Source organism: Homo sapiens, chromosome 17 (genome assembly GCF_000001405.40).
Source record: "Homo sapiens chromosome 17, GRCh38.p14 Primary Assembly".
NCBI lineage: Eukaryota > Metazoa > Chordata > Mammalia > Primates > Hominidae > Homo > Homo sapiens.
This window is the reverse complement of record NC_000017.11, coordinates 35,806,906-35,830,829: the sequence shown is the minus strand read 5'-3', so window position 1 is coordinate 35,830,829 and position 23,924 is coordinate 35,806,906. Positions and strand designations below refer to the sequence as shown.

The 23,924-nt window shown below is 40.2% G+C and overlaps 1 protein-coding gene across 2 annotated transcripts in view, besides 1 other annotated feature; it reads right to left on the bottom strand.

Moving 5' to 3' along the window:
- TAF15 (TATA-box binding protein associated factor 15) overlaps nt 1–21,346 on the bottom strand; it is a 37,759-nt gene extending 16,413 nt beyond the window's left edge. The window contains exons 1-7 of one of the 2 annotated variants that reach the window (NM_139215.3): nt 21,254–21,346; nt 13,075–13,114; nt 10,755–10,806; nt 10,582–10,666; nt 10,393–10,498; nt 7,997–8,190; nt 6,632–6,752 (exon numbers count right to left, since the gene is read on the bottom strand). In NM_139215.3, the coding sequence (NP_631961.1) occupies nt 6,632–6,752; nt 7,997–8,190; nt 10,393–10,498; nt 10,582–10,666; nt 10,755–10,806; nt 13,075–13,114; nt 21,254–21,260 (605 nt within the window). In that variant the 5' untranslated portion in view covers nt 21,261–21,346. The remainder of the gene's footprint in view (nt 1–6,631; nt 6,753–7,996; nt 8,191–10,392; nt 10,499–10,581; nt 10,667–10,754; nt 10,807–13,074; nt 13,115–21,253) is intronic. The other variant, NM_003487.4, reaches the window with a different exon arrangement.
- Nucleotides 20,630–21,331: an enhancer, noted in NCBI's record as "NANOG-H3K27ac-H3K4me1 hESC enhancer chr17:34136503-34137204 (GRCh37/hg19 assembly coordinates)". NCBI's record gives its function as "activates a minimal SCP1, AML or CMV promoter by ChIP-STARR-seq in naive H9 embryonic stem cells {active_cell/tissue: H9 hESC(naive)}" and the evidence as "EXISTENCE:reporter gene assay evidence [ECO:0000049][PMID:30033119]".

Sequence of the window (23,924 nt, the reverse complement as noted above, 5' to 3'; positions counted from 1 at the left end):
CAGGCCCCACCCTAGACCTACTGAATAAGAACCTGCATTTAATAAGATCCCCCAAGTAATTCATATGCACATTTAAGTCTAAAATGTCTAGACATTTGGTTTAGGCATTGATCTAGATGATCTGTAATTTTATGCAAAGCCTTCTTTCAAGTTCAAACGTTTCAATCATTTTCTCTCTTCTTATTAGAAAATTATCCTTTTTAAGGAATTTATTAAATACAGAAAATAACCTTCAAGTAGTACTATTAGATATTAACAGAAGATGTGCCTGAGGTTAACAATCTTTCTTTCAAATCTGCATTAATGTTACAAGTCCCTTTTCTACATGCTAAGGCAAATCAAGACACAAAGGTACTTGAACATCTGAGTCAAGATGTTGACACAACAAATTTGCTTTAATTCCCAGAAAAAGCAGAAAACATTTACACATAAAGAATTCCTGAAGTAGCAGAGATATTTAACAGAAACACAATATAAGCATACTCAACTTTATTGGCAGAGTACCCCCTGCATAAGAAAACTAGCTGGTTTTTTTGTTTGTTTTTTGAGATGGTGTCTTGCTATTTTGCCTAGTCTGGTCACGAACTCCTGAGCATCAGTGATCCTCCCACCTCAGCCTCCTAAGTAGCTGGGACTACAGGTACGCGTCACAGCCCCCAGCTAGTTGCATACTTTTTTTTTTTTTTCTGAGACAAGAGTTTCACTCTTGTTGCCCAAGCTGGAGTGCAATGGTGCAATCTCGGCTCACTGCAACCTCCAACTCCCGGGTTCAAGCGATTCTCTCACGTCAGCCTCCCGAGTAGCTGGGATTACAGGCACCTGCCACCATGCCCAGCTAATTTTTGTATTTTCAGTAGAGACGGGGTTTCACCATGTTGGCCAGTCTGGTCTTGAAGCCCTGACCTCAGGTGATCCACCTGCCTCAGCCTCCCAAATTGCTGGGATTACAGGCGTGAGCCAATGTGCCCAGCCAGTTGCATATTCTTGACCCAAACACAGACAGTTCCCCCAAGTTCAAAACCACAACGAGCAGCCCACACGAAGGCATACTCTGAGGGTTGTTTCACTGTTACAGCAGTACATATTTCGAAGAGACAACAGATTCCATTTCAGATGCTTCTCAAGAAAGAAAAAGTTCTTTGACAGAATCTCTACTCCAGGTCTCTCTCTCTCTTTTTTTTTTTTTTTTTTTTTTTTTGAGATGGAGTCTCGCTCTGTCTCCCAGGCCAGAGTACAGTGGCACGATCTCGGCTCACTGCAACCTCCGCCTCCTGGGTTCACGCCATTCTCCTGCCTCAGCCTCCCGAGTAGCTGGGACTACAAGTGCCCGCCACCACGCCCGGCTAATTTTTTGTATTTTTAGTAGAGATGGAGTTTCACCATGTTAGCCAGGATGGTCTCGATCTCCCGACCTCGTGATCCACCCGTCTCGGCCTCCCAAAGTGCTGGGATCACAGGCATGACTACCACGCCCAGCCTCCAAATCTTTTAATAAAAAAAAAAATAATAAAAATAAAATAAAAACCTAACTATATCTATTTATGGACTAAAACTGCCAAGAAGTAAAAGGACAATGCAGGAATCTCTATTCTTAGAAAATTTCACTAACTAGAGAGAAAGGACTTGGCTAAAAATGGAGAAAGGTTAGCTTAAAAACCCATGCTGTGCTTGGGTTTTCAGACTACTAAATCCAGAATACAATTTTCTGAGTGTGAGGAAAAGACCAACATTAATTCCACATTTAAGTGACTCAATGGATTTAAGTACTATTCTCCATAACAGCTGTATTTACATTTTATTTCCTCCTATGTCTTACATGCATGGTAAAAAGGCTTTCTGGATTCAGCATTTATCAACATCTCAGGAGGCCAAGAATCTATCATTCTAGAGCTGCACTGTCCAATACAGTATCCACTACCTACATGTGGCCTGTTGAGCACTGGAAATGTAGCCAGTCTAAATTAAGATGTGCTCTAAATGCAAAATACAAAATGGATTTCTAAATTTTAATATGAAAAAAGGAATGTACAGTACTTTTTTTTTTTTTTTTTTAAACATTTGAAGAGGTATGGGGCGGAGGGGGAAATGGAATTTGACCGACTCACTATTGCCCAGACTGGAGTGCAGTGGCTATTCATAAGCACAATCATAGCTCACTGCAGCCTTGAACTCCTGGGCTCAAGCAATCCTCCTACCTCAGCTTCCCAAGTAGCTGGGACTACAGGCGTGTGCCACAGTGGCCAGCTAATTTTTTCATTTTTAAAAGATGACATCTTACTATATTGCCCATCTAGTCACAAACTCCTAGCCTCAAGCAATCCTCTTGCCTCAGCCTCACAAGTAGCTAGGATTACAGGCGCAGGCCATCATGACCAACAAAAAGAAATTTTTTATATTGATTGCATGATGAAATATTTTGAATATATTGAGTTAAATAGATTTTCTCATTTGTTTATTTGTGCTGTTTTCTTTTTAATGTGGCTATTAGAAAATTTACAATTAACTATATGGGTCACATTTGTGACCTCCATTGTATTTCTATTGGGCAATGCTGTGCTAGACTCACCAGAACGTATACATATTTTTATTTTTTAGACTGATGTATACAGTGCCCTTGTATACATGTGTATTTCTACGGCAGTTAACTGAATACTCTTTTAAGAGGGAGAAGATCCTCAAAAATCTGGATTTTAGGCTTGACACATTAAAGCCTGAAACAGCTACTAAATTTGATGGCATACTAATAATGAAAAGCAATTATTTATTAAGTTCTGGCAATTTTAGAAGGTGTTAATCACAATGCTAAAATTAAAAATCACTGGGAGAATTTATGCCCTTAACTTCTAGTCCACTAAGATGTCCATGTCAATTTTAGATGACAGTAAGAAATTTTCTTTTTTTTTGCTACAATTGCTTTTTCAAAGAAAAAGATTAAGTTTCCTGTAGTCCCTATAATCTTCACAGATTTATCTCTCTTTCACACTTGGAAAGCTGATGGTTTCTTTTTGACCGGGAATTCTTCTTCTAGCCAGGCAATCACACCATCTGTAAGTCCAAGAATGTCCCATCCTTTACCTTATATCCAATCCTCATCCACAAATTATGCCCCTTCTTTTTTTTTTTTGCGATGGAGTTTCACTCTTGTTGCCCAGGCTGGAATGCAATGGTGTGATCTCAGCTCACTGCAACCACCAACTCCCAGGTCAACTGATTCTCCTGTCTCAGCCTCCCGAGTAGCTGGGATTATAGGCACCCACCATCGTGTCCAGCTAATTTTTTGTATTTTTAGTAGAGACGGGGTTTCACCCTATTGGTCAGGCTGATCTCGAACTCCTGATCTCAGGTGATCCACCCGCTGTGCCCTCCAAAGTGCTGGAATTACAGGCGTGAGCCACCATACCTGGCCCATGCCCCTTCTTCTTTTAATATAAACCCAACTAATGCCAGATATTCTTCAAACAGCCCCCAAAAGAACTATTTTTTTTTTTTTTTTTGCGACGGAGTCTTGCTCTGTTGCCCAGGTTGGAGTGCAGTGGTGCGATCTCAGCTCACTGCAAGCTCCGCCTCCTGGGTTCACACCATTCTCCTCCCTCAGCCTCCAGGGTAGCTGGGACTACAGGAGCCCGCCACCACACCCGGCTAATTTTTTTGTAGTTTTAGTGGAAATGCCTCGGCCTCCCAAAGCGCTGGGATTACAGGTGTGAGCCACCGCACCCGGCCAAGAATTGCTATTTTTAATTTGACTGAGAACACAAACGGGAGTGTTGATGAAGACTAATGAAAAATGTTTGGGTATTCTGGTACTTAAATGCAAAACTGTGTGGGAAAAAAAAATCTTAAAACAGGGCATCTATATTCAAATTCAAAACATTTTATCCCAATAAATAAGCTAAAAAGCACATCTTTAAAAAGATGTTATGACACATAAAAATAATTTTATGTGTTATGACACATAAAAATAATATGAACTTCAGCCAGGCGTGGTGGCTCACACCTGTAATCTTGGGAGGCCAAGGCGGGCAGATCACGAGGTCAGGAGATCGAGACCATCCTAGCTAACACGGTGAAACCCCATCACTACTTAAAAAAAAAAAAAAAAAAAAAATTAGCCGGGTGTGCTGGCACACGCCTGTAGTCCCAGCTACTCAGGAGGCTGAGGCAGGAGAACTGTTTGAACCTGGGAGGTGGAGGTTGCAGTAAACTGAGATGGTGCCACTGCACTCCAGCCTGGGCAACAGAGCGAGACTCCATCTCAAAAAAAAAAAAAAAAATTATATGAACTTTAAATTTCAGTATCCATAAATGAAGCTTTACTGGAACACAACTCTGTTTATTCATTTACATATTAATTACGGCTGCTCTGGTGCTCCAAGGGCAGAGATGAATAGTTACAATAGAAACCATATGGTTCACCAAACCCAGAACATTTACTATCTGGCCTTTCACACAGCTTGCCAACTCAATATAAAGAGTAATCGGCATCCATACGGATTTCTAAAAAAGGCCTTTCATGAACATCTCAACAAATAACAGAGTATAAGGCAAGATTGCAGATCCCTTCCTCACCCGACCTTTCCCCCACTGAAACCAGATCAGCACATCATTTGGACCAACTAGATATTGGACTTCTGCATATGATTTTGTATTAAGGGGTATTAAAGGAAAATAAAAAATTTAGTTTATAAGTCAGTATCTAGGCCACAAATTATATGAAGTATGTTGCAAGGGGTTTATAAAAGTACTTAATTGGACCCCAGGGTTGATTAAGGTACTGCTTCCCTCCTTTGTCAGGAGGATCATTCAAAGTCCTTTCGATCCTCTAGTTACAAGATGAGTCACAAATGAAAATACATTTTTTTTTAATGTTTTTTTTTTTGAGACGAAGTCTTGCTCTGTCGCCCAGGCTGGAGTGCAGTGGCACGATCTCGGCTCACTGCATGCTCCGCCTCCCGGGTTCACAACATTCTCCTGCCTCAGCCTCCTGAGTAGTTCGGACTACGACTACAGGCGCCTGCCACCACGTCTGGCTAATTTTTTGTATTTTTAGTAGAGACGGGGTTTCACTGTGTTGGCCAGGATGGTCTCCATCTCCTGACCTCGTGATCCGCCCGCCTCGGCCTCCCAAAGTGCTGGGATTACAGGCATGGGTCACCATGCCTGGCCAGTGAAAATATATTTATAATGACTTCCCTACCTATTCCCTATCTTCTTCCACCATTCTTAGACACAGTGATAGTTTAATAATCGATTAGGATGTAACTGTAATTTCCTTATGAAGAAAACTAAAGCTATGATGTACTATAAAACATATAGCATTTCAAGGCAGCCAATTATCCAAAACATATTAACTGGTAAATTAAATATACCTGTTGGTTATCTTGTTTGGAACAGGAGGGAGGCTATTATTAGGTAGAGAGTAAGCACCATGTCACTTTACATAGTCCATTTATATCCACATGATGGCAGACTGCTCTTTGACAATGAAGAAGCATAGAATTTATTTGTTTTACTTTGGTAAACTGACTTTGGCTATCAACAGACTTAATGTCCAAGTCTTATAACATTTTTCAAATATGTTTAAAATTTAGTTTTTCCAAAAAATCAAAGCACTGTACACTAAAAATAGAATATAAGGCAGTGAAATCAAATCCTGGCTCACTTGAAGAAATAACAGTCTGTGGGCAACTGGTTGTTTCTCAGGTCACCTCAGGGGACAGATGGTCCCTAAGGTGCAAAAGAATGAACTGGTGCTGATATATGACTGATAAGTTTCTGTAACGGGCCACTGACCATTTCAATTCCCAAGGAACATAAATTACCTTTTAGCCTGTGTATTTACACACAAATATGCAACCTGCAAACTTCTTCTGAGGACAGATGTCAACTACTTTTTCATTTTTTTTTTTTTACAGTCAAAGTAGTAAACTTGCAGATATATCTAAAACCAATTTTCAAACCAGCTTCATAACATATGCTGTAAGTAAATAAATACCAAAACCTGATAACACTAGCATGGAGAAAAGAAAAGCTGAATTAAAAAGACATTCCTTTACACAACTTAGTCAAGACAAAATACACATTACTATGTGATGTTACACTAATTATTCCAATAATTATTTACTTAAGAAGAGGGACAAAACAGTTTTGTTACATTAAATCTTTCTCTTATTTGCCATCCCCACCTTTCTACTCCATTACTGCCTCCTAATACTTTCCCTTCCCAAGGAGATTGGAGATTAAGAAATAGCCTCTGCCCCTCAATCTAGAATTAACTTACCTTTTATTTTTACATACAAACACTGGATTTCCCAGAGTCGTCTTTTAAAGGAGTTAAGATTCTAGCTCTGGCAGGAAAGTCAAGTGATTTAATCACAACCATAGTTGTTTCTCTACTGGTGTTTAACATGTACCACATAAACTAACTACTAACATAGCCAATTCTAAGGTCATTTATGTGAGATATTAAGACTGAAAATACACTTTTAATTTCTGCCTTTTTCTCCAATATATAATCCCTTTTTAAAGTCTCTTAACTAAATTAGATGCTGGAATTGATCCAGCCAAGTAACACCTTAAAAAAAAAAAAAAGAGGAAGAAGAAGAAATGTACGCATCTTTATCTACATACTTACCTTGATCCTGTCATAGGACCTCTTCCATCCTTGTCATATCCCCCACGCCCTCTACCTCCTCCCTGTGACCCGCCATATCCTCTATTATCTTCTCCATACCTACTCACATCACGACGGTCATCTACAAAAAAGAAAATATTACACACAAATAACCACTCTCATTTCTAAAGCTTCAAATAACAATGTTAAATGGCTCTTTAGGCCACACATATCCTTATAGAAAATGGCACATGTGCACACAACTCAAATGCAAGTCATCATAAAATCATCTGGAATTACATGTTTTTGAGAATTTTATCTGTGTCAAATTCCATTCTGCTAAACTGACATGGCAAAACAGTAATGTATCTGTGTCAAATTCCATTCTGCTAAAGTGACATGGCAAAACAGTAATGTGGAACAGTATGAGTTAAAATACAATCTTAGCTACAAGAACCTTAGTAACTTAGATGAAAAGCACGACCCCAATCTTTTTTTTTTTTTTTTTTTTTTGGAGACAAGAGTCTCGCTCTGTAGCCCAGGCTGGAGTGCACTGATGCAATCTCGGCTCACTGCAAGCTCTGCCTCCCAGGTTCACGCCATTCTCCTGCCTCAGCCTCCCGAGTAGCTGGGACTACAGGTGCCCGCCACCATGCCTGGCTAATTTTTTTTTTTTGTATTTTTAGTAGAGACAGGGTTTCACCATGTTAGCCAGGATGGTCTCGATCTCCTGACCTCGTGATCTGCCCACCTCGGCCTCCCAAAATGCTGGGATTACAGGCGTGAGCCACTGCGCCCGGCCCCCCAATCTTAAAAGTTACCACTTTCTTCACTTCAGAAACATTTAAATGTAAATTGAGCATGGACAAGGAATAACTGAATCTTCAAACTGAGAGAAGATATTTAGTGAATGTGCTTCCACTTTTACTTATTTACTTATTCATTCAATTATTCAACAAGCACTTACTATTTACTATTCAATTATTCAACAAGCACTTACTTACACTTACAATTATTCAACTGAGCACCTACTATGAACCAAACCATGTACTAGGCCTTAAAGGTACATAAATAAGTACCCCAAATCAAGTACAACACCAACACCAAAAGAACTGGTACCAGCAGTATTGTCAAGGATCAGAGTTCACTGAGACAAAAAGGAAATTCACGTAATCAGCCATCAAAAGTCATGACCATCTGAGGGCCTCCAAGTTCAGAAGTAGAAATCTGATAAACTAGTTTTGATTACCATGAGAGGGAACATATCTTCAAGGTTACCCTAAATTTTTACAAACAGGTGAAATCCTCTGTGGTTCTTTTAATCAGAAATTCATACAAATAATTCTGAGAGGGGGAAAAATAATAATAGAGGTCAGTAAATCTTACCTTGTGTGTGGTGGCTGTAGTTTTCCCTTTGTGAATGATAGGACTGCTGGTTTTGACTATAGGAATCATGCTGCTGATCATAATTTGACTGCTCATCATATGAGCCTTGATGTTGATCATAGCCTGACTGCTGGTCATATGAATCTTGTTGACCATAGTCTGGCTGGTCATAGGAAGGTGCTCTTCCACCTTGGCTAAATAGAAATGGAGAACTTAAGAGACTTCATAGGAAGATTACATTTGCTGTAGCAAGTTGGCTGAAACTGATGTTAAGAGTCCTGACCAGTTAGAGACATTAACCATATTTATGACTACCTTCTCATGGTAATTAGTTATCTGCAGTCTCCTGGAATTCCCTGCGAAAGACGATTCTGCCAACATTGAAGAGGTGCCACATTATGAAAAAAAATGTATCTTTGAAAACTGCAGTAAAGCAAAAAATTACTATGGCTTTTTACTATCTCCTTGAACTTTTTTTTTTTTTTTTTTGAGACAGAGGTTCACTCTTGTTGCCCAGGCTGCTGGAGTGCAATGGCGCGATCGTGGCTCACCGCAACCTCCACCTCATGGGTTCAAGCAATTCTCCTGCCTCAGCCTCCCGAGTAGCTCAGATTACAGGCATGTGCCACCACGCCTGGCTAATTTTGTATTTTTAGTAGAGACGGGGTTTCTCCATGTTGGTCAGGCTGGTCTTTAACTCCTGACCTCACGTGATCCACCCGTCTCGGCCTCCCAAAGTGCTGGGATTACAGGTGTGAGCCACCGAGCCTGGCCTATCTCTATGAATTAAAAAAAAAAAAGTAAAAGATGCTACAAAGTACAGTAATATGTCTGACTCTTTAATAAACATGCCACAAGAGCTGAGTCCTTTTAATAGTTACAATGAAAGGCTCTATATCACTGAAGTTTAACAAGTGTCTTCTCTTAAAATATTTTTAGATCTTTTCTCTTAGAATTATCTTTAGAACCTATAGTACAGTCTTCTAAACATCTTCAGTGATAGTACATTTTAGAAAACAGTAAAAGAACCTGCTTTGTAACACAATTTTTTTTATCTGAAAAAAACTCTATCAGGTAATGAGACTGCTTATTCTAGCGATTTGAAAGGAAAATTCTAAGTATCTTCAGAACAATATTACTGTATTAATTACATGCTCTCAGGGTGGGAATGTTAAAAGGCAACATTTAATTGGATTTGAGTTCCAGTAGGTTTACTTATTATAAAAATGGGCTGGGGGGGGACAAAAAAGATCTCATAACTTAATAGTTTACATTTTATTCTTCACCAGAGGATCAGAACAATCTAATAAAAGATCAGTATGTTCCCTAACTCCCTGTCGAAAGCACAACACAACCACAGTCCAAACCCTAGCACTTTAAAATGGCTGTCAAATCAAACTTAACATTTCTTTTCAGACTATATTTATAGGTCATGCTTCCAAAAATACATCATTTATAAAACGATTCTCCTTAAATTTAAAACTAACCAACAAGGCTTGAAGAGTTATTTCTCTTAATGTAGTATGCCTTCTGGATATTATTCCCTACATTTGTACTCTACTTTCTACTTTTCAAAACACTCTCACATCTGTAAGGGTGATAATTTGACCTCACCAATCTTTCCTCAATGCTTTTATTTAATTTTCACTTAGAATAAATGTCTTCACTGTAGAAAGAAAACACTAGAGACCTCAGTTTTTAGCCACGTCACTTGATAGGCCAAATAATTTCTTTACCCTCTGTAAAATGGGAATCACTGACACTATTTCATAGTGGTATCTGAAGATCAATCACATTAGAGAATGCAAAAGCATTTCACAGAATGTAAAGCACAATTTTTAAAAAGTAACTTGCTATTAAGTAAATAGCATAAAATTAAGTACCAGCTCTTTAAATCTGAAAGGTAAAAAAACTTTATAAAACCTGAAATTTATCAGTAAATATTCACCTACATATATCAAAGAAAACACATTTTAGGGTATCTGATATATGCGTAAGTTTTGACCCTTTTAAAAAATATTTTTGTCCCTGAAAAGTTAATATATTCAAATGGTTCAAAAATAAAATGGAAATTTAAAAATAGATGTTGAGAAGTCTTAATTCTAAAGACAGGTTTTTATTTAATCTCAGGGATAAAGCAGAGGTCCAAAATTTTCTAACATTTTTAAGGACATCAATTTATAGCTAAACAATGATTTCACAAATACATCATAAGAATCAAATGACAATGCTATTTCCACATTCTCCATAATATACAGTTGTAAAATCCACACTCCATTAAAATTTCCTTTAAAAAAAAAAAAAGTTTAAAGCTAGGATTTTGTTGGTTAAATCTGTTTAATATCAGTGTTATTTCCACTGCCCAAAACAATCTCAGTATTTTACTATTTCCTTACCTTCCTGATGATTCCATGTTTTGCTGCTGTCCCTGGTTATTATATGGTTGCTGGCTATATGAGCTCTGCTTTTGATTCTCATAACCACCATAGGACTGTGAATAACCTAAAGATTAGATGAGTATATCATTTAGTGAAGGCTCTGATTTTTCAATCTCTGAAACAACAAATTTAACAAACTAGTCCAACCTGACTGACTTTGTCCATAACTGGAGTAACCGCTGTAGTTCTGTCCATAAGAGGAATCAGTCGTTTGCCCATAGCCAGAATAGCTCTGAAATTTAGGTAAATACTCAAGTTTCATCACCTACTTAAGATAAAAATAACTACTTATGAAGAATACAATTTATATTTCAACCTACTTGTGATGCTTGTCCATAGCCTTGGCTGCCTGGATTTCCATAGGTAGAATAACTGCAAAAGAAAAATTTAATACTTGAAAGAAATGTGTAGAAATTTTAAAGTTTAAATGAAGACCTTGCCTTCATTTTCAACTTTCAACTCAAATACAAGCTTCTTTGCTGAGAAATCATCAATCTCCCTGTCTCTAGAGTCTAAATTGAAAGGTGACGATCAAAGACTGTTAAAGAAATACATGAAGTCACTCCCAGATCTCCTGAATGGGAAACAAATACCCAAAGTTTTGTTTTCACAATCTTGCAGAAATAAACAAAACTTGGTAAGAGCTAGAAAATTCCAAGAGAATTATGCTTGGGTGTGGGGGGAATAAAAACTACATAGCAAGACTTATAATAAATACCTGAAGCACAAAAATGATGACTACACAAAAAATGAACACCTTACTCAATTTAATCACATCTTGACAGATTAATTTTTTCCCACCATTTGCCTTAGTTAAATGGCTTTAACTTCCTAAAAGATGCACAGGGAGGCACTAGAAGTCCAGTTTAAAAGTCTCAATAATTAGAGGCATGTTTATCCCCACAGTACAGTCATTGAATGAAATTATACCGTATCCTCAGTATTGTAGCAGGGCCTGGCACATAGCTCAATAAATATTTGTTGACTGACTAAATAAATGTACCCTCCTGGGATTTGAATATTAATTTTATAGTATATAAGCTCTAACAAGTCAGAAACAAACTTTCTGAATCTATACTATGACTTTCTAATATCCAAAGAAAACTAAAACACTTGCAAAATTTTTTATCATTTTAAAGGTATCAAGTGCTAACAAGATTCCTTAACTTTTGAAAATACATTTCACCAAATAAACATTTTGCTAGATACCTACTAGGAAGTTAGCACTATCTTACAAGATCAAAAAAGTCAAATCAGTTTTGTTTTTCAGGAAGCTTAAAATTTGACAAGATATCTGAGGTGCTATTCTGAGTATCTTACACTGAGCTGTAAAACATTTATCCTATAAGTTGAAGGCTGTATTTTGGTAAGAGAAGCCCACTGCATATATACACTCACATAAAAATAGAACTTCCTTTTTACTGTGAGGATGGTAAGCACACTAAAAAAACGCTTAATATTTTTTATGGTATTTTAAAAAAATGTGCTCTGAAAAAACACATTAGCATATTATACACCATAATAAAACGCTTTTTCTAAAACAACTGTTGAGTTCAATTGCTTAAACTTTTTTTTTTTTTTCGAGACAGGGTCTCGCTCTGTCACCCAGGCTGGAGTGCAGTGGCATGGTCATAACTCATTGTAACAACCTTGAACTCTTGGGCTCAAGTGATCCTCCCACCTCAGCCTCCCAAGTAGCTAGGACTACAGGTACACACCACTATGTCTGGATAATTAAAAAAATTTTTTTTTTAGAGACAAGGTCTCGCTATATTACCCAAGCTGGTTTCTAACTCCTGGCCTCAAGCAATCCTCCCATCTTGGCCTCCCAAAGTACTGGGACTAGAGTCATGAGCCATAGCGTCTGACATTAAATTTCTTTAATAATTGTTTCTTCTAAGAGATTTCCTAAATAAAACATAAACTTTACAATACCAAGGAGATTTGTTTTAATCTGTAGGAGGTATATTCATTGATGCAAACAGATTTAAGAAAAGGAAGAGGCCAGGCGCAGTGGCTCACACCTGTAATCCCCGCACTTTGGGAGACTGAGGCGGGCGATCACGAGGTCAGGAGATCGAGACCATCCTGGCTAACACGGTGAAACCCCATCTCTACTAAAAATACAAAAAATTTGCCGGGTGTGCTGGCGAGCGCCTGTAGTCTCAGCTACTCGGGAGGCTGAGGCCAGAGAATGGCGTGAACCTGCGAGGCGGAGCTTGCAGCGACCCGAGATCGCGCCACTGCACTCCAGCCTGGGCGAAAGAGCGAGACTCAGTCTCAAAAAAAAAAGAAAAGGAAGAAGCCCAGTAGAGTGGCACATGTCTGTAGTGGAGATTACAGTTACTTGGGAGACTGAGGCAGGAGGATCGCTTAAGCCCAGGAATTTAAGGCTGTAGTACACTATGATTTGCCACTGCACTCCAGCCTGAGCAAAACAGCAAGACTCTGTCTCAAAACATAAAGAAAAACAGAAAGGGAATAAATGTCTTACAGCACCTATTTACACTGACTCTCTTCACTCTGTGACAAGCTAATATTTAACTTATGACATCCAGCATCAAGTCTCAAGAGAAGAAGCTTGACAAAATTCACCTCAGTTCTACCCTTTCATATTATTAAAATGTATGTATACTTTACCTTTGCTGCTCACCCCCAGACTGACCGTAACTTCCAGAATCTAGAACACATAAAAAGAATTTTAAATCTTATTTAAAATTATGGTTCCTTCAAAGGCTGACTTTAGCTCATACAGAAGAAATGTGGTAAGAAAATGTAAAGAACTGCAGAAAGAAAAACTAACTCAAGTTAAATACTATGAAACAAGAAATTTGTACAAATAGTATTTACTTTTTACAATAACTACGTATTTGCAAACTACTATTCTACATGTGTGCTAGGGTCACAAGAACCCAGTGAACAAATGTAAACAGTGAAAATCCATTCTTTAAACAGACTCAAGACCTTAAGCAATATTATTATATACAAAAAGACATCTGTTAAAACTAATCAGGTCCAAAAAGGGGAAAGACATGCACTATGACATCCCCAGGATTACATCTACTTGAACATCCTTACCACCCCAAGATATACACCATTCCTCTGTATTGGACTGCTTTGGCTGTCAGCACCAACAAAAATATTTCCAAAGACTTGCTAAAAAAAAAAAAAAAGCAGCTAAGTTAGTTGCTCTATTCTGATTTTACCAAGCTTTCAGGGATTCAGCCAATTGGCACAGCAAGTCAGCAATACCTGCTTGTAGCTTCAATTTAGCAATCAAAAAAATGACCAAGGGACCGGGCATGGTGGCTCACACAATCCCAGCACTATGGGAAGCTGAGGCAGGCAGATGGCTTGAAATCAGCCCAGCCAACATGGCGAAACCCCATCTCTACAAAAAACACAAAAACTAGCTGGGCATGGTGGCATGTGCCTGTAGTCCCAGCTACTCGAGAGGCTGAGGTGGATCACCTGATCCAGGGGCGGTCAAGGCTGCAGTGAGCTGTGATTGTGCCACTGCACTCCAGCCTGCACGACTGAATGACACTTCTCAAAAAAAAAAAAAAAAAAAAAAAAAAAAGTGGGGGTGGGGTGGGGGTGGTAACATAAAAAATAAAGAATTTGAACTATGAGCTTTTCTCAATACTTCAAAATGTCAATCATATCAAAAATTACTGAAGAGGTTCTATTTATCTATCCTTCAGGCTTTACTCAGAGTCAAATGAATGACCAAGTATGTGACGCATAAGAGCAGATTTTATGAAACGCTTTTGCAACTGCAAAAAATGGCTCTAAGTCGCAAACTGTTGACCATCAGGCCCAACCTCACTCAATTTGAAACAAAAATCACTGTTGTCAAATAGTTCTAAAACACACCAAAACCTAATGAAATTTTTCTTTCTTCTTTTTAAGAGATGAACTCTTCCTGTCACCCATGCTGGAGTGCAGTGGTGCCATCACAGCTCACTCCTAGACTTGAGTCATTCTCCTGCCTCAGCCTCCTGCGTAGCTGGGACTACAGGTGTGCAGCACCACGCCCAGCTATTTTTAATTTTTAGAGATAGGGGCTCAGTAACTTTCTCTTTTTAAAATTTAATTATACAATATGTCCTTAGAACAAACTTTTTCATCCAATTTATATAACGCTACAATATGAAAATATTGCCACCAAATATAAGTGGGTGATACCAAATTTGCCACTTTTCTGCAGTAAAGCTCTCCAATTAGACCGAACAAGATTTTGTTTAATGCTTAAGAATAGTAAATGAAGGCCAGGTGTAGTGGCTCATCCCTGTAATCCCAGCATTTTGGGTGGCCAGGACAGGAGTACTGCTTGAGCCCAGGAGGTCGAGGCTGCAGTGGGTCATGATTGCACCACTGCACTCCAGCTTTAGCGACAGAATGAGACCCTGTCTCAAAAGAGAAAAAAAGTATTAAATGAAATCTTGACACAAACTACTACTTCTATGAATATGGAGGGCATAAAACTAGCTGAAATGAAAAAGAAAAAATTACACATCACTGCCAGGCCCATGAGAAGATAGCTAGAGTTGTAGCTAACAACCAATTAAGAAAAATCGGAAAAGAATACACAATCTAATTAGACCATTAAGAGATTAGATGCCTCTATGAAATGACAGGAAATCAGATTATCCCAAATCAAAGGATGAAAAGGGTTATGAGGGGGAAAACAATGAGTAAAACAAGGTATTTGTGGATGCATGAAGCTTTAGGTTAAACTATATCCTGAAGCATGGATGTAGGTTCTCCCAGTGACAAAATACATAATCGCAGCATATTTTCTTTAGGTTCAGGCAAAATTTTAGTAGGGTACAGCACATAGGTCCTGTAACCCTATCTCAAATCTAACAGTAAGGCCCTTAATCTTAACCCAGTCATTTCAGCCCTCTGAAATTATAAATCTAACTTCTTTAGCTGGCTAGCTTAAAAACTCCCAGATGATATAGAAATAAGCGTACTGACTAGTAAATCTGTCCCTTGGTATAAATCCTTGAGTGATAAAGTGCAGGTGTTTTACATTCATCAGAGAAAATCAGTTTATAGATTAAGGCATCCTAAACAACTGTTCATTGTGATTATTTGACAATTGTGCTTTGTGTCTGGACCTACGAATTTAAATTTAAAGTGCTTTTGAATTTCCAAGTGTATAGTTTTGATTCTCTTTGTGTTTTTTCCTAATATTCCACTGCAGCCAGAAAAGTTATTTTATTATTCTTGGTATTTGCTCAGATTTCCTGTTTTGCTTTTCCCCCTTGGCACATGTTCCCTGTGTGCCTGAAAATAATTATGTATTTTCTAAATTTCAAGTGAATTCTATCAGTCTATAACATTATGCTCATTAGTTGTATCACTCATATTTTACTAATGTTTGGTCATATTCTTACTGTTTGCCTGATCTATTAATTACACAAAGAGGTATTTTTTTTAACTTCCCATATAACTATGGACTTGTCAAGTTCTTGTAATTGTCATTTAGGTTTTATATATATACATATATATATACACACACACTTTTTTTTTTTGAGACAGAGTCTCACTCTATCACCCAGGATGGAGTGCAGTGACACGATTTTGACTTACTGCAACCTCTGCTTCCCAGGTTCAAACAACTCTCCCGCCTCCGCCTCCTGAGTGGCTGGGATTACAGGTGCCCACCACCTTGCCCGGCTAGTTTTTGTATTTTTAATAGAGATGGAGTTTCACCATGTTGACCAGGCTAGTTTCAAACTCATGACCTCAGGTGAACCGCCCGCCTCGGCCTCCCAAAGTGCTGGGATTACAGGTGGGCCTGTTTTCTGTATATATTATTAGGCACACAAAAGTATAGGCCTATGTTCCTGGTGATTTCCTTTTAACATTACGTCTGAACTTTATTTTGGCTAGTAACATAACTTAAAAAAAAAAATCAGCTGGGTGCAGTTGCTCACGCCTGTAATCCCAGCACTTTGGGAGGCTGAGGTGGGCAGATCACAAGGTCAGGAGATCGAGACCATCCTGGCTAACATGGTGAAATCCCGTCTCTACTAAAAATACAGAAAATTAGCCGGACGTGGTGGTGGTGGGCACCTGTAGTCCCAGTTACTCGGGAGGCTGAGGCAGGAGAATGGCGTGAACCCAGGAGGCGGAGCTTGCAGTGAGCCGAGATTGCGCCACTGCACTCCAGCCTGGGCGACAGAGCGAGACTCCATCTCAAAAAAAAAAAATCACCTTTTGGTTGGTGTTTGCAAATTGCTTGAGCTGAGGAGTTCAAGACCAGCCTGGGCAACACAGAAAGATCCTATCTCTACAAAAAATTTTAAAAATTAGCCAGGTAAGGCAGTGTGCACCTGTTGTCAGTCCCCGCTACTCTTAAAAAAAACAAAAACAACAACAACAACAACAAAAAAAACAGAAAAAAGAAAATTCAAAGTCAATGGTTACTTTCTCTCTAAACTCTAATGGATAATTTCATTATTTTCCAGCTTCTTCAAATATTTAATTAGTCTGTTATTAATCATACCACTGCTTCCTATTTTCTCTAGTAGGTTACTGGTACTTCATAACCTGCATTTTTACATCAATGTATCTAGGTATGAATGTTTCATGTTTAAATCTAGTGTTCAATTCAAAATGTTCATTTACTTTGGAAATCAACTATTGATTCTTCCTCCATTTTCTCCTTCTCAATCTCTTATTAGATGTATGACAGGAGTTTTTAATCTATTTCCCATGTTTCTTAATCTTTTTTTGCGGGGGGGGGGGGACAGGGTCTCGCTCTGTTGCCAAGGCTGAAGTGCTGTAGGACAATCACAGCTCACTGTAGCCTCGATTTCCTGGGCTCAAGCAATCCTCCCACTTCAACCTCCCGAGTAGCTGGGATTACACATGCATACCGCCACATTCAGCTGATCTTTTTTGTATTTTGTAGAGATGGGAGTTTCATCACGTTGCCCAGGCTGTTTTCAAACTCCTGAGCTCACGCGATCTACCCACCTCAGCCTCTTAAAGTGCTGGGATTATAGGCATGAGCCACCATGCCTGAAATCTTTCATTTTCATATCTTATCCCCCTGAATTGAATGCTGGAAGATCACATCTACCTTCCACATCTGTGAGATAAGTCACATCCATCATATCTGTAATTCTTTCTTCTGCTAGGTCTGCTATTCCAACTTATTCACTTTTCCTAATTAATTCTAAACGTTTTACTTGATTCTTTTTCAAATCTATGTGGCTTGTTTTATTAACACCTTGATCTTTTTTTTTTTTTTTTTTTTTTGAGACAGAGTCTTGCTCTGTCACCCAAGCTGGAGTGCAGTGTCTCAAACTGCAACCTCTGCCTCCTAGCTTCAACCAATTCTGGTGCCTCAGCCTCACAAGGATCTGGGATTACAGGTTCCCGCCACCTCACCTGGCAATTTTTATACTTTTAGTAGAGATGGGGTTTCGCCATGGTGGCCAGGCTGGTCTCGAACTTCTGACCTCAGGTGATCCACCTGCTTCAGGATCCCAAAGGGCTGGGATTACAGGCATGAGCCACCGCACCCGGCCAACCTTGATCTTAGGGTTGATTCCTTCCTTTAGGTTTATTTTAACAATTTTAAACATAAAAATATTCTCTCAGATAATCTGTTAGAGGCTCTAATCCTATTTGTCATTGACTCTCATTTCAGTGAAATGTTTCCTAAAGCTCTGCAATTTACTATGAACATATCTTTTGCAAGGCTTGCTTTATCTGAAATTCCTTGTGATCTAAACCATGAAATTTCCTCCAGAAAATGTTTTTCAGGTTTTTTTTTTTTTTTTTTTTTTTGAGATAGAGTTTCTCTTGTTCCCCAGGCTGGAGTGCAATGGCGCAATCTCGGCTCACCACAACCTCCGCCTCCCAGGTTCAAGCGATTCTCCTGCCTCAGCCTTCTGAGTAGCTGGGATTACAGGCATGTAGGATGCCTTAATTTTTTAAGTAGAGATGGGGTTTCTCCAGGTTGGTCAAGCTGGTCTCGAACTCTCGACCTTAGGTGATCCACCCGCCTCGGCCTCCCAAAGTGCTGGGATTACAGACGTGAGCCACCACGCCCAGCCGTTCTTCATGTTTTTAACAGAAACACCAAGGGTATTACCAGCCCAGAAACCATTTTTACGTTAATTTGTCTTAAAGTTTCCTGGAGCCTAAACGTCCATGTTACCTTGTCATCTCTTATGTTGGTACTAAGGTTTTTTCCAGTTCATTCCTTCACATAATGTACAGTCCTTTAACTCCATAACACATTAAGTCTAGAATTTATGTTAAGAGTCTCAGTTCCCATTACCTGGCGTTAATGGTCCGTACGTTTTATCTCTGGTCCCTACACAGTTACTTGAGCAATAAAACCCAGGTGTCTAAAAAAGGTGTATGCCCTCCTCTCCAGGGTAGCTGGCAAGTTAGCTCTTTGCCTGCCATGCTGGCTCCTACTTCATTTTTGGCACTGGGGGTTTGTCCTTTCTTAGTTTTTCCATTTTTTTAAATCTTTGTAGATAGATTTTCAAGTTAATCGTGGTCTGCCACACTGCCAGAATGAGAAGTTATCTTGACTTTGTAATTTTTATGTGTGTAACTGATTTGAATTCGTTAAGGTGTTAGCTAATTCACGTTGTAAACAGTATTTGAATGTTAGACTCTGACTTATAATTTCTACAATTTTGATTTATTGATTACTTCAGTGCTTATACTTTATTAGGTTTTTTGGAGTGGTTGAGTCAATTTGATATATTAAATTTACATGTGTAGTCTGGAATGTTTAAAGGACTTAACTAAAATTATTAATGGCATTAGTTGTTTTGGGGGATTTTAATAAACATTCATCAAAGAACAAGTCAAAAGCATTATTTTTACACAAAGTCAAAGGTATTATTTTTATACACTTATTACAAAACATATAAATAGTATACCAAGCCTAAGAATATAAAGAGTCTAGCTTTAATTAATTGAATGTTAATTTAAAAACAAGCGTCTAGTAAGTAGCCCTTTTCACACACCGAAAAGCCAATTTCGTATTTTAAAAAATACTCGAACTACAAAATAACAAATATCTGGTGTCTTAGTAACTTGAAGATCAATACTAATGATTAAGCCAGCTTATATGCTTATATGATACATGAAAAAGCCTGTATTTTACAAATAGCAAACCACTAAAACTTCGACTTTCCACAGAAGCCATTGTTTTATATCAATAATTATGTTAAAGATCAAGACAGGCTAAAAGTTTTTAATGAGGACTGAAACCATTAAAACTTGGTAAATTTCTCCACGAGGGTAGAATTTTAATTTCTGTTTAAACCACGGGTAGATGATACACTCTTGTGAGGGTGTACTATAAGAACTTCTAAGGAGCTTTATCAGACTTCATCCCAAATTACGTACCTAGAAAAAGATGTACCAATGTCTACTTTGGAATAAGAAATTATTTCTTGTTTGAGCAAGGATTAAGCAGAAACTGAAAGAAGTGCAGTTTATAGCCTCTTATATGAAGTAGATGGGCACCCCTCAAAAACAAATCAATATCCTGGCTCCTTAAATATCAACATTAATCTAAGTAATGTATAGCATGCTCCTGTCCAAAGGTTCCCGCTAATTTGTAGTCTTCTCAGATCGATGCTTCATTTTAGTCACACATTTCTATCCTGCAAGACCGGGTACCTGGGTTTTTTGTCTAGTTTTATAACACTAGGCAGGTTTGGCCTTACTCAAAATATAAGACTGCAAAATGCCTGTTTCACCTCAACCACACGGTTTCAGGAAATGTTCTGTATTTCCAGCAGAAAACTGGTATCTAACTCTCATGATGGTTTCTAGCAAGTGGATAGACACCTGGGTCTTTGCGGCCCGTGATGCAGCCTAACAATAGAGGACCCTGTGTGAACAGCTAGATCTGCTAAATCAAGAGGACATCCATGTTCTAGACTTTTTATTCTGGTTTAGCAGGATCCAAACTGGTTGTCCTGAAGAGACTAATGCCTCTCTTTCTCTTCCACACAATGGGTGGCCTCTGCCAAGTTAACTGCTTCGTGGGGGGAAAAAAGATTGCCTTTCCTTTGGTCTGCATGTTTTAAGGTAAATGCCACATACACCTACAGGAGCTTATCAATAATAGATAGACAAGGCTCACTTTCAAACTCTTTCAGGAGATAAACTGGTGGGGAAGACGAATGGCAGGAGGGTGAAGAGGAAGCTAAATTACTATGCAAACACCCCCAACTCAAATCCAGGTGGTTACTGCAGAGTGAATAACGATAAGTACGATTTCGTGTAAGGCAACGTCCTTTGAAAGGGCTCCCAGAGCGTCAAGGCCCCCACCTGATGAATGGGTGAGTCAGGCAGGCCCAGCTCCACTTCGAGGATGGGAAAACTGAGGTACGAGGCGGCGAGATGACTGGCCCGAGGCCTCGCTGAAAGATCCGAGGCGGAGCGGAGAACCAGAAGCACCGCTTCTCTCAGGCTGATGCTCTAATCTCGGCTCCCCCCGCCCCTACGATGGCGTAGACGGCCTCCGCCCCCCGACTCACACACACCCTCCCCCGGGAACGGCAAGTCTCCTCGGGTTCCAAGGACAGGGTCAAAAGACAAGAGGCCCGAGGCGCTCCCGCCGTGATTTGCAGCCGGGGAGCCATTGGGAGCGTGCGTGCCTCCAGTTCAACATGGCGGCGGCAGCGGCCGCCCCCCCACCCCAAGCCTCCCTCAGGGCCGGAGGCTTCTCCTCAGGGCCCTCCGGTGGGCGGGAAGACAGCCCAACCCCGCCAGGACCTTCTCGTCGCTGCCGCTGCTCGCTGAAGAAGTCACCTACCCGACATGACTAACGGCCGCGGCGCGGAGGCCCCACAGCCCGCCGAGAACAACGAATACGAAAGCCAGGCGGCGCGGCGGCCGGAGCTGTACTGAGGGCGGCGCGGCGGGCTGAGGCGGACTGCGGGACCCCGGCAGCCAATCAGCGGGCAGCGGGTGGTACCACAAAGCTGCGGCAGGAGGGATGTTTCTGCACTGGTACTAGCCGCCGAGCCCTGAGGCCTTCCCAGGGCCCTCTATTCCCCCCTCCGCTAGCCGTACCATTATTGAGAGGGAATTGAGAAGAGAAAGTACCAATGCCACGATCACGATCGGGGAGGAAGTGGAACCTACTTGCTCCGTCTTATTTACAATCCTATTTCTCACTTTATTGGGTGTGATGGAATTTGCGGTTAGGAAACGAAAGAGGAGGGACCTTATAAACACAGAGTATTTGGTTATGCAAAGCCTTTCTTTCCCTACAATTTCGAATGGTACGTCCTAGCTGGCGGCTTTTGCTGCAGAGTGCTTGGGCCACCTGGGGGCGTTCGGAGTCGGCGAGCTCTGGGACTGTGAGTCGTGACCAGCTCGCGTACCTGATCGCTTCCCGGTTTGTTGTAACTGTCTCGCCGAGTAGCAAACAAGGATGCTGGAAGAAAAGGGTACATTAAAACGAAATCGTACACGAATCTGACCCTGAGAATGTGGCGGGGCGGAGGGATCGAGCTTTAATTTTCAGCACTATAATAATAGCTGACTCTTAATTGTCAGGCACCTTACATCATCTCATTTAATTCTCACAACAGACTGATGAAATATTTTCCCCATGTTGCAGATGAGAAGACAGAATTCATTTGACCTAGGTCGTACAGCTAGTAAACGGCCAAGGTGGAATTTGAAGCCTGGTAACCCAACGATATATTGCATATGAGTTTAACCAAAATGCTGCACGGCCCAGCGGGGTGGGCCCAAGGCCGCTTGGGCTCTGCAGCAGGAAACGGGCTGGAAAAGCTCAGAGAGCCAGCAAAGACGTTTTCCGGGAAGGCATGGTATCTGAGCCAAACCCTAGGTGTTGTGCAGAAGTTGACCGAGTAAAGAAGTGAGCAAAGTACTTTGCAGACTAGTTGTGTAACAAGTAGTTCTTCAAGGGGAGAGTAGAAGGAGATGATGCCCGAAAAGGAGGGGGCTAAATAGCTGGGGCCTTGTCAAATGCATTAGAGTTCCCACTTTATCTTGGAGGAAATGAGAACCACTCACCAGAGGATTTTATAGGAGAGGAGTAATATCAGATTTGTATTTTCTGGCTGCCAAATGAAAAATGCACGGGGATGAGAGGCGCTTAAAAGCAGAGACCAATTAGGTGGCCAGTGCAGTAATTTTGGTGAGAGATGACAGTGCCCTGGACTTAGGTAGTAGCTCTGGAGACAGAGGTAAGTGAAGCGATCTCAGAGATACCCCGGGGTAGACTAGACAAGAGCTGGTGATCACCTGGGTTGGAGAGGGTAGTGGAGAGAGAAGAGTCTGGGGTGAATTCTGGGTTTCCTGCGTAGACACGGGGGCCGGGTGGTAGTGTCATTGACTGTGATAGGGAACAAAAGGAGGAGCAGGTTGCAATGGAGGTGAAAAGGGAAGTTCAGAGTTAATACCTTCAGGTCAGAAAAAAGACGTGAGGTCATCTCTCCCCATTATACCAGCAGTGATTGTGCCCTCAACTCTAGATAAAGAGGGTCACAGAACGCTCTAGATAAGTTCCAACAAGCAAGACTAAAGGAGTGAAAATTATTTCATGACTAAAAACCATTAAACTGTTTAGCATATATATTGAGGAAGGCAGCTCAGCAGAGAAGATGGGCATGTCCAACAGAAGAGAATTGGGTTATGGAGGGGAGGGGAAGAGGTAATTCTAGAAGATCCCTAAAGGGACCTAGAGGGTTGTTCTTTTTTATTTATTTTCTTTTTTTGAGAATTTTTTTCAAAGAAGGAAATACCAAAAGTGTTACTCATCGACTCCTTAAGTTTGTACCACCATTTATTCATTCACTCCTCCTTCAATTGCCATCTCTGGAGGTTTACTATGTGACAGGCTCTGGAAGGCCTTGGAGAGACAGAAATAGGAAGGAGAGCCTCTGCCTTCCAGGAACTACAGTCTCATAACAGGAACAGTGTGAACCTGTGATTTCTTTTTTTTTAACTTTTATGTTAGGTTTGGGGGTACATGTGAAGGTTTGTTACACAGATAAACACATGTCACAGGGATTTGTTGTACATATTATTTCATCACCCACATATTAAGCCCAGTACCCAATAGTTATCTTTTCTGCTCCTCTCCCTCCTCCCACCCTCCCCACTCAAGTACACCCCAGTGTCTGTTGTTTCCTTCTTTGTGTTCATAAATTCTCATCATTTGGCTCCCACCTATAATAAGTGAGAATATGCAGTATTTGGTTTTCCGTTCCTGTTAGTTTGCTAAGGAGAATAGCCTCCAGCTCCATCCATGTTCCAAAAAGTTTCTTGTTGTCTTCATACTATTTGTTTCTGTATTTGTCTTCCCCTACTAATGTACCAACCCTCACACCATTTGTCCTGATAAAATTCTGTAGATAGTCTCAGAGGCTGCGTGTCTGCTGACCTGCTGCCACCCGTGCATCAGGACCTGCACTAACTCTATCTTGTCCTGCCAAACCTGTGATTTC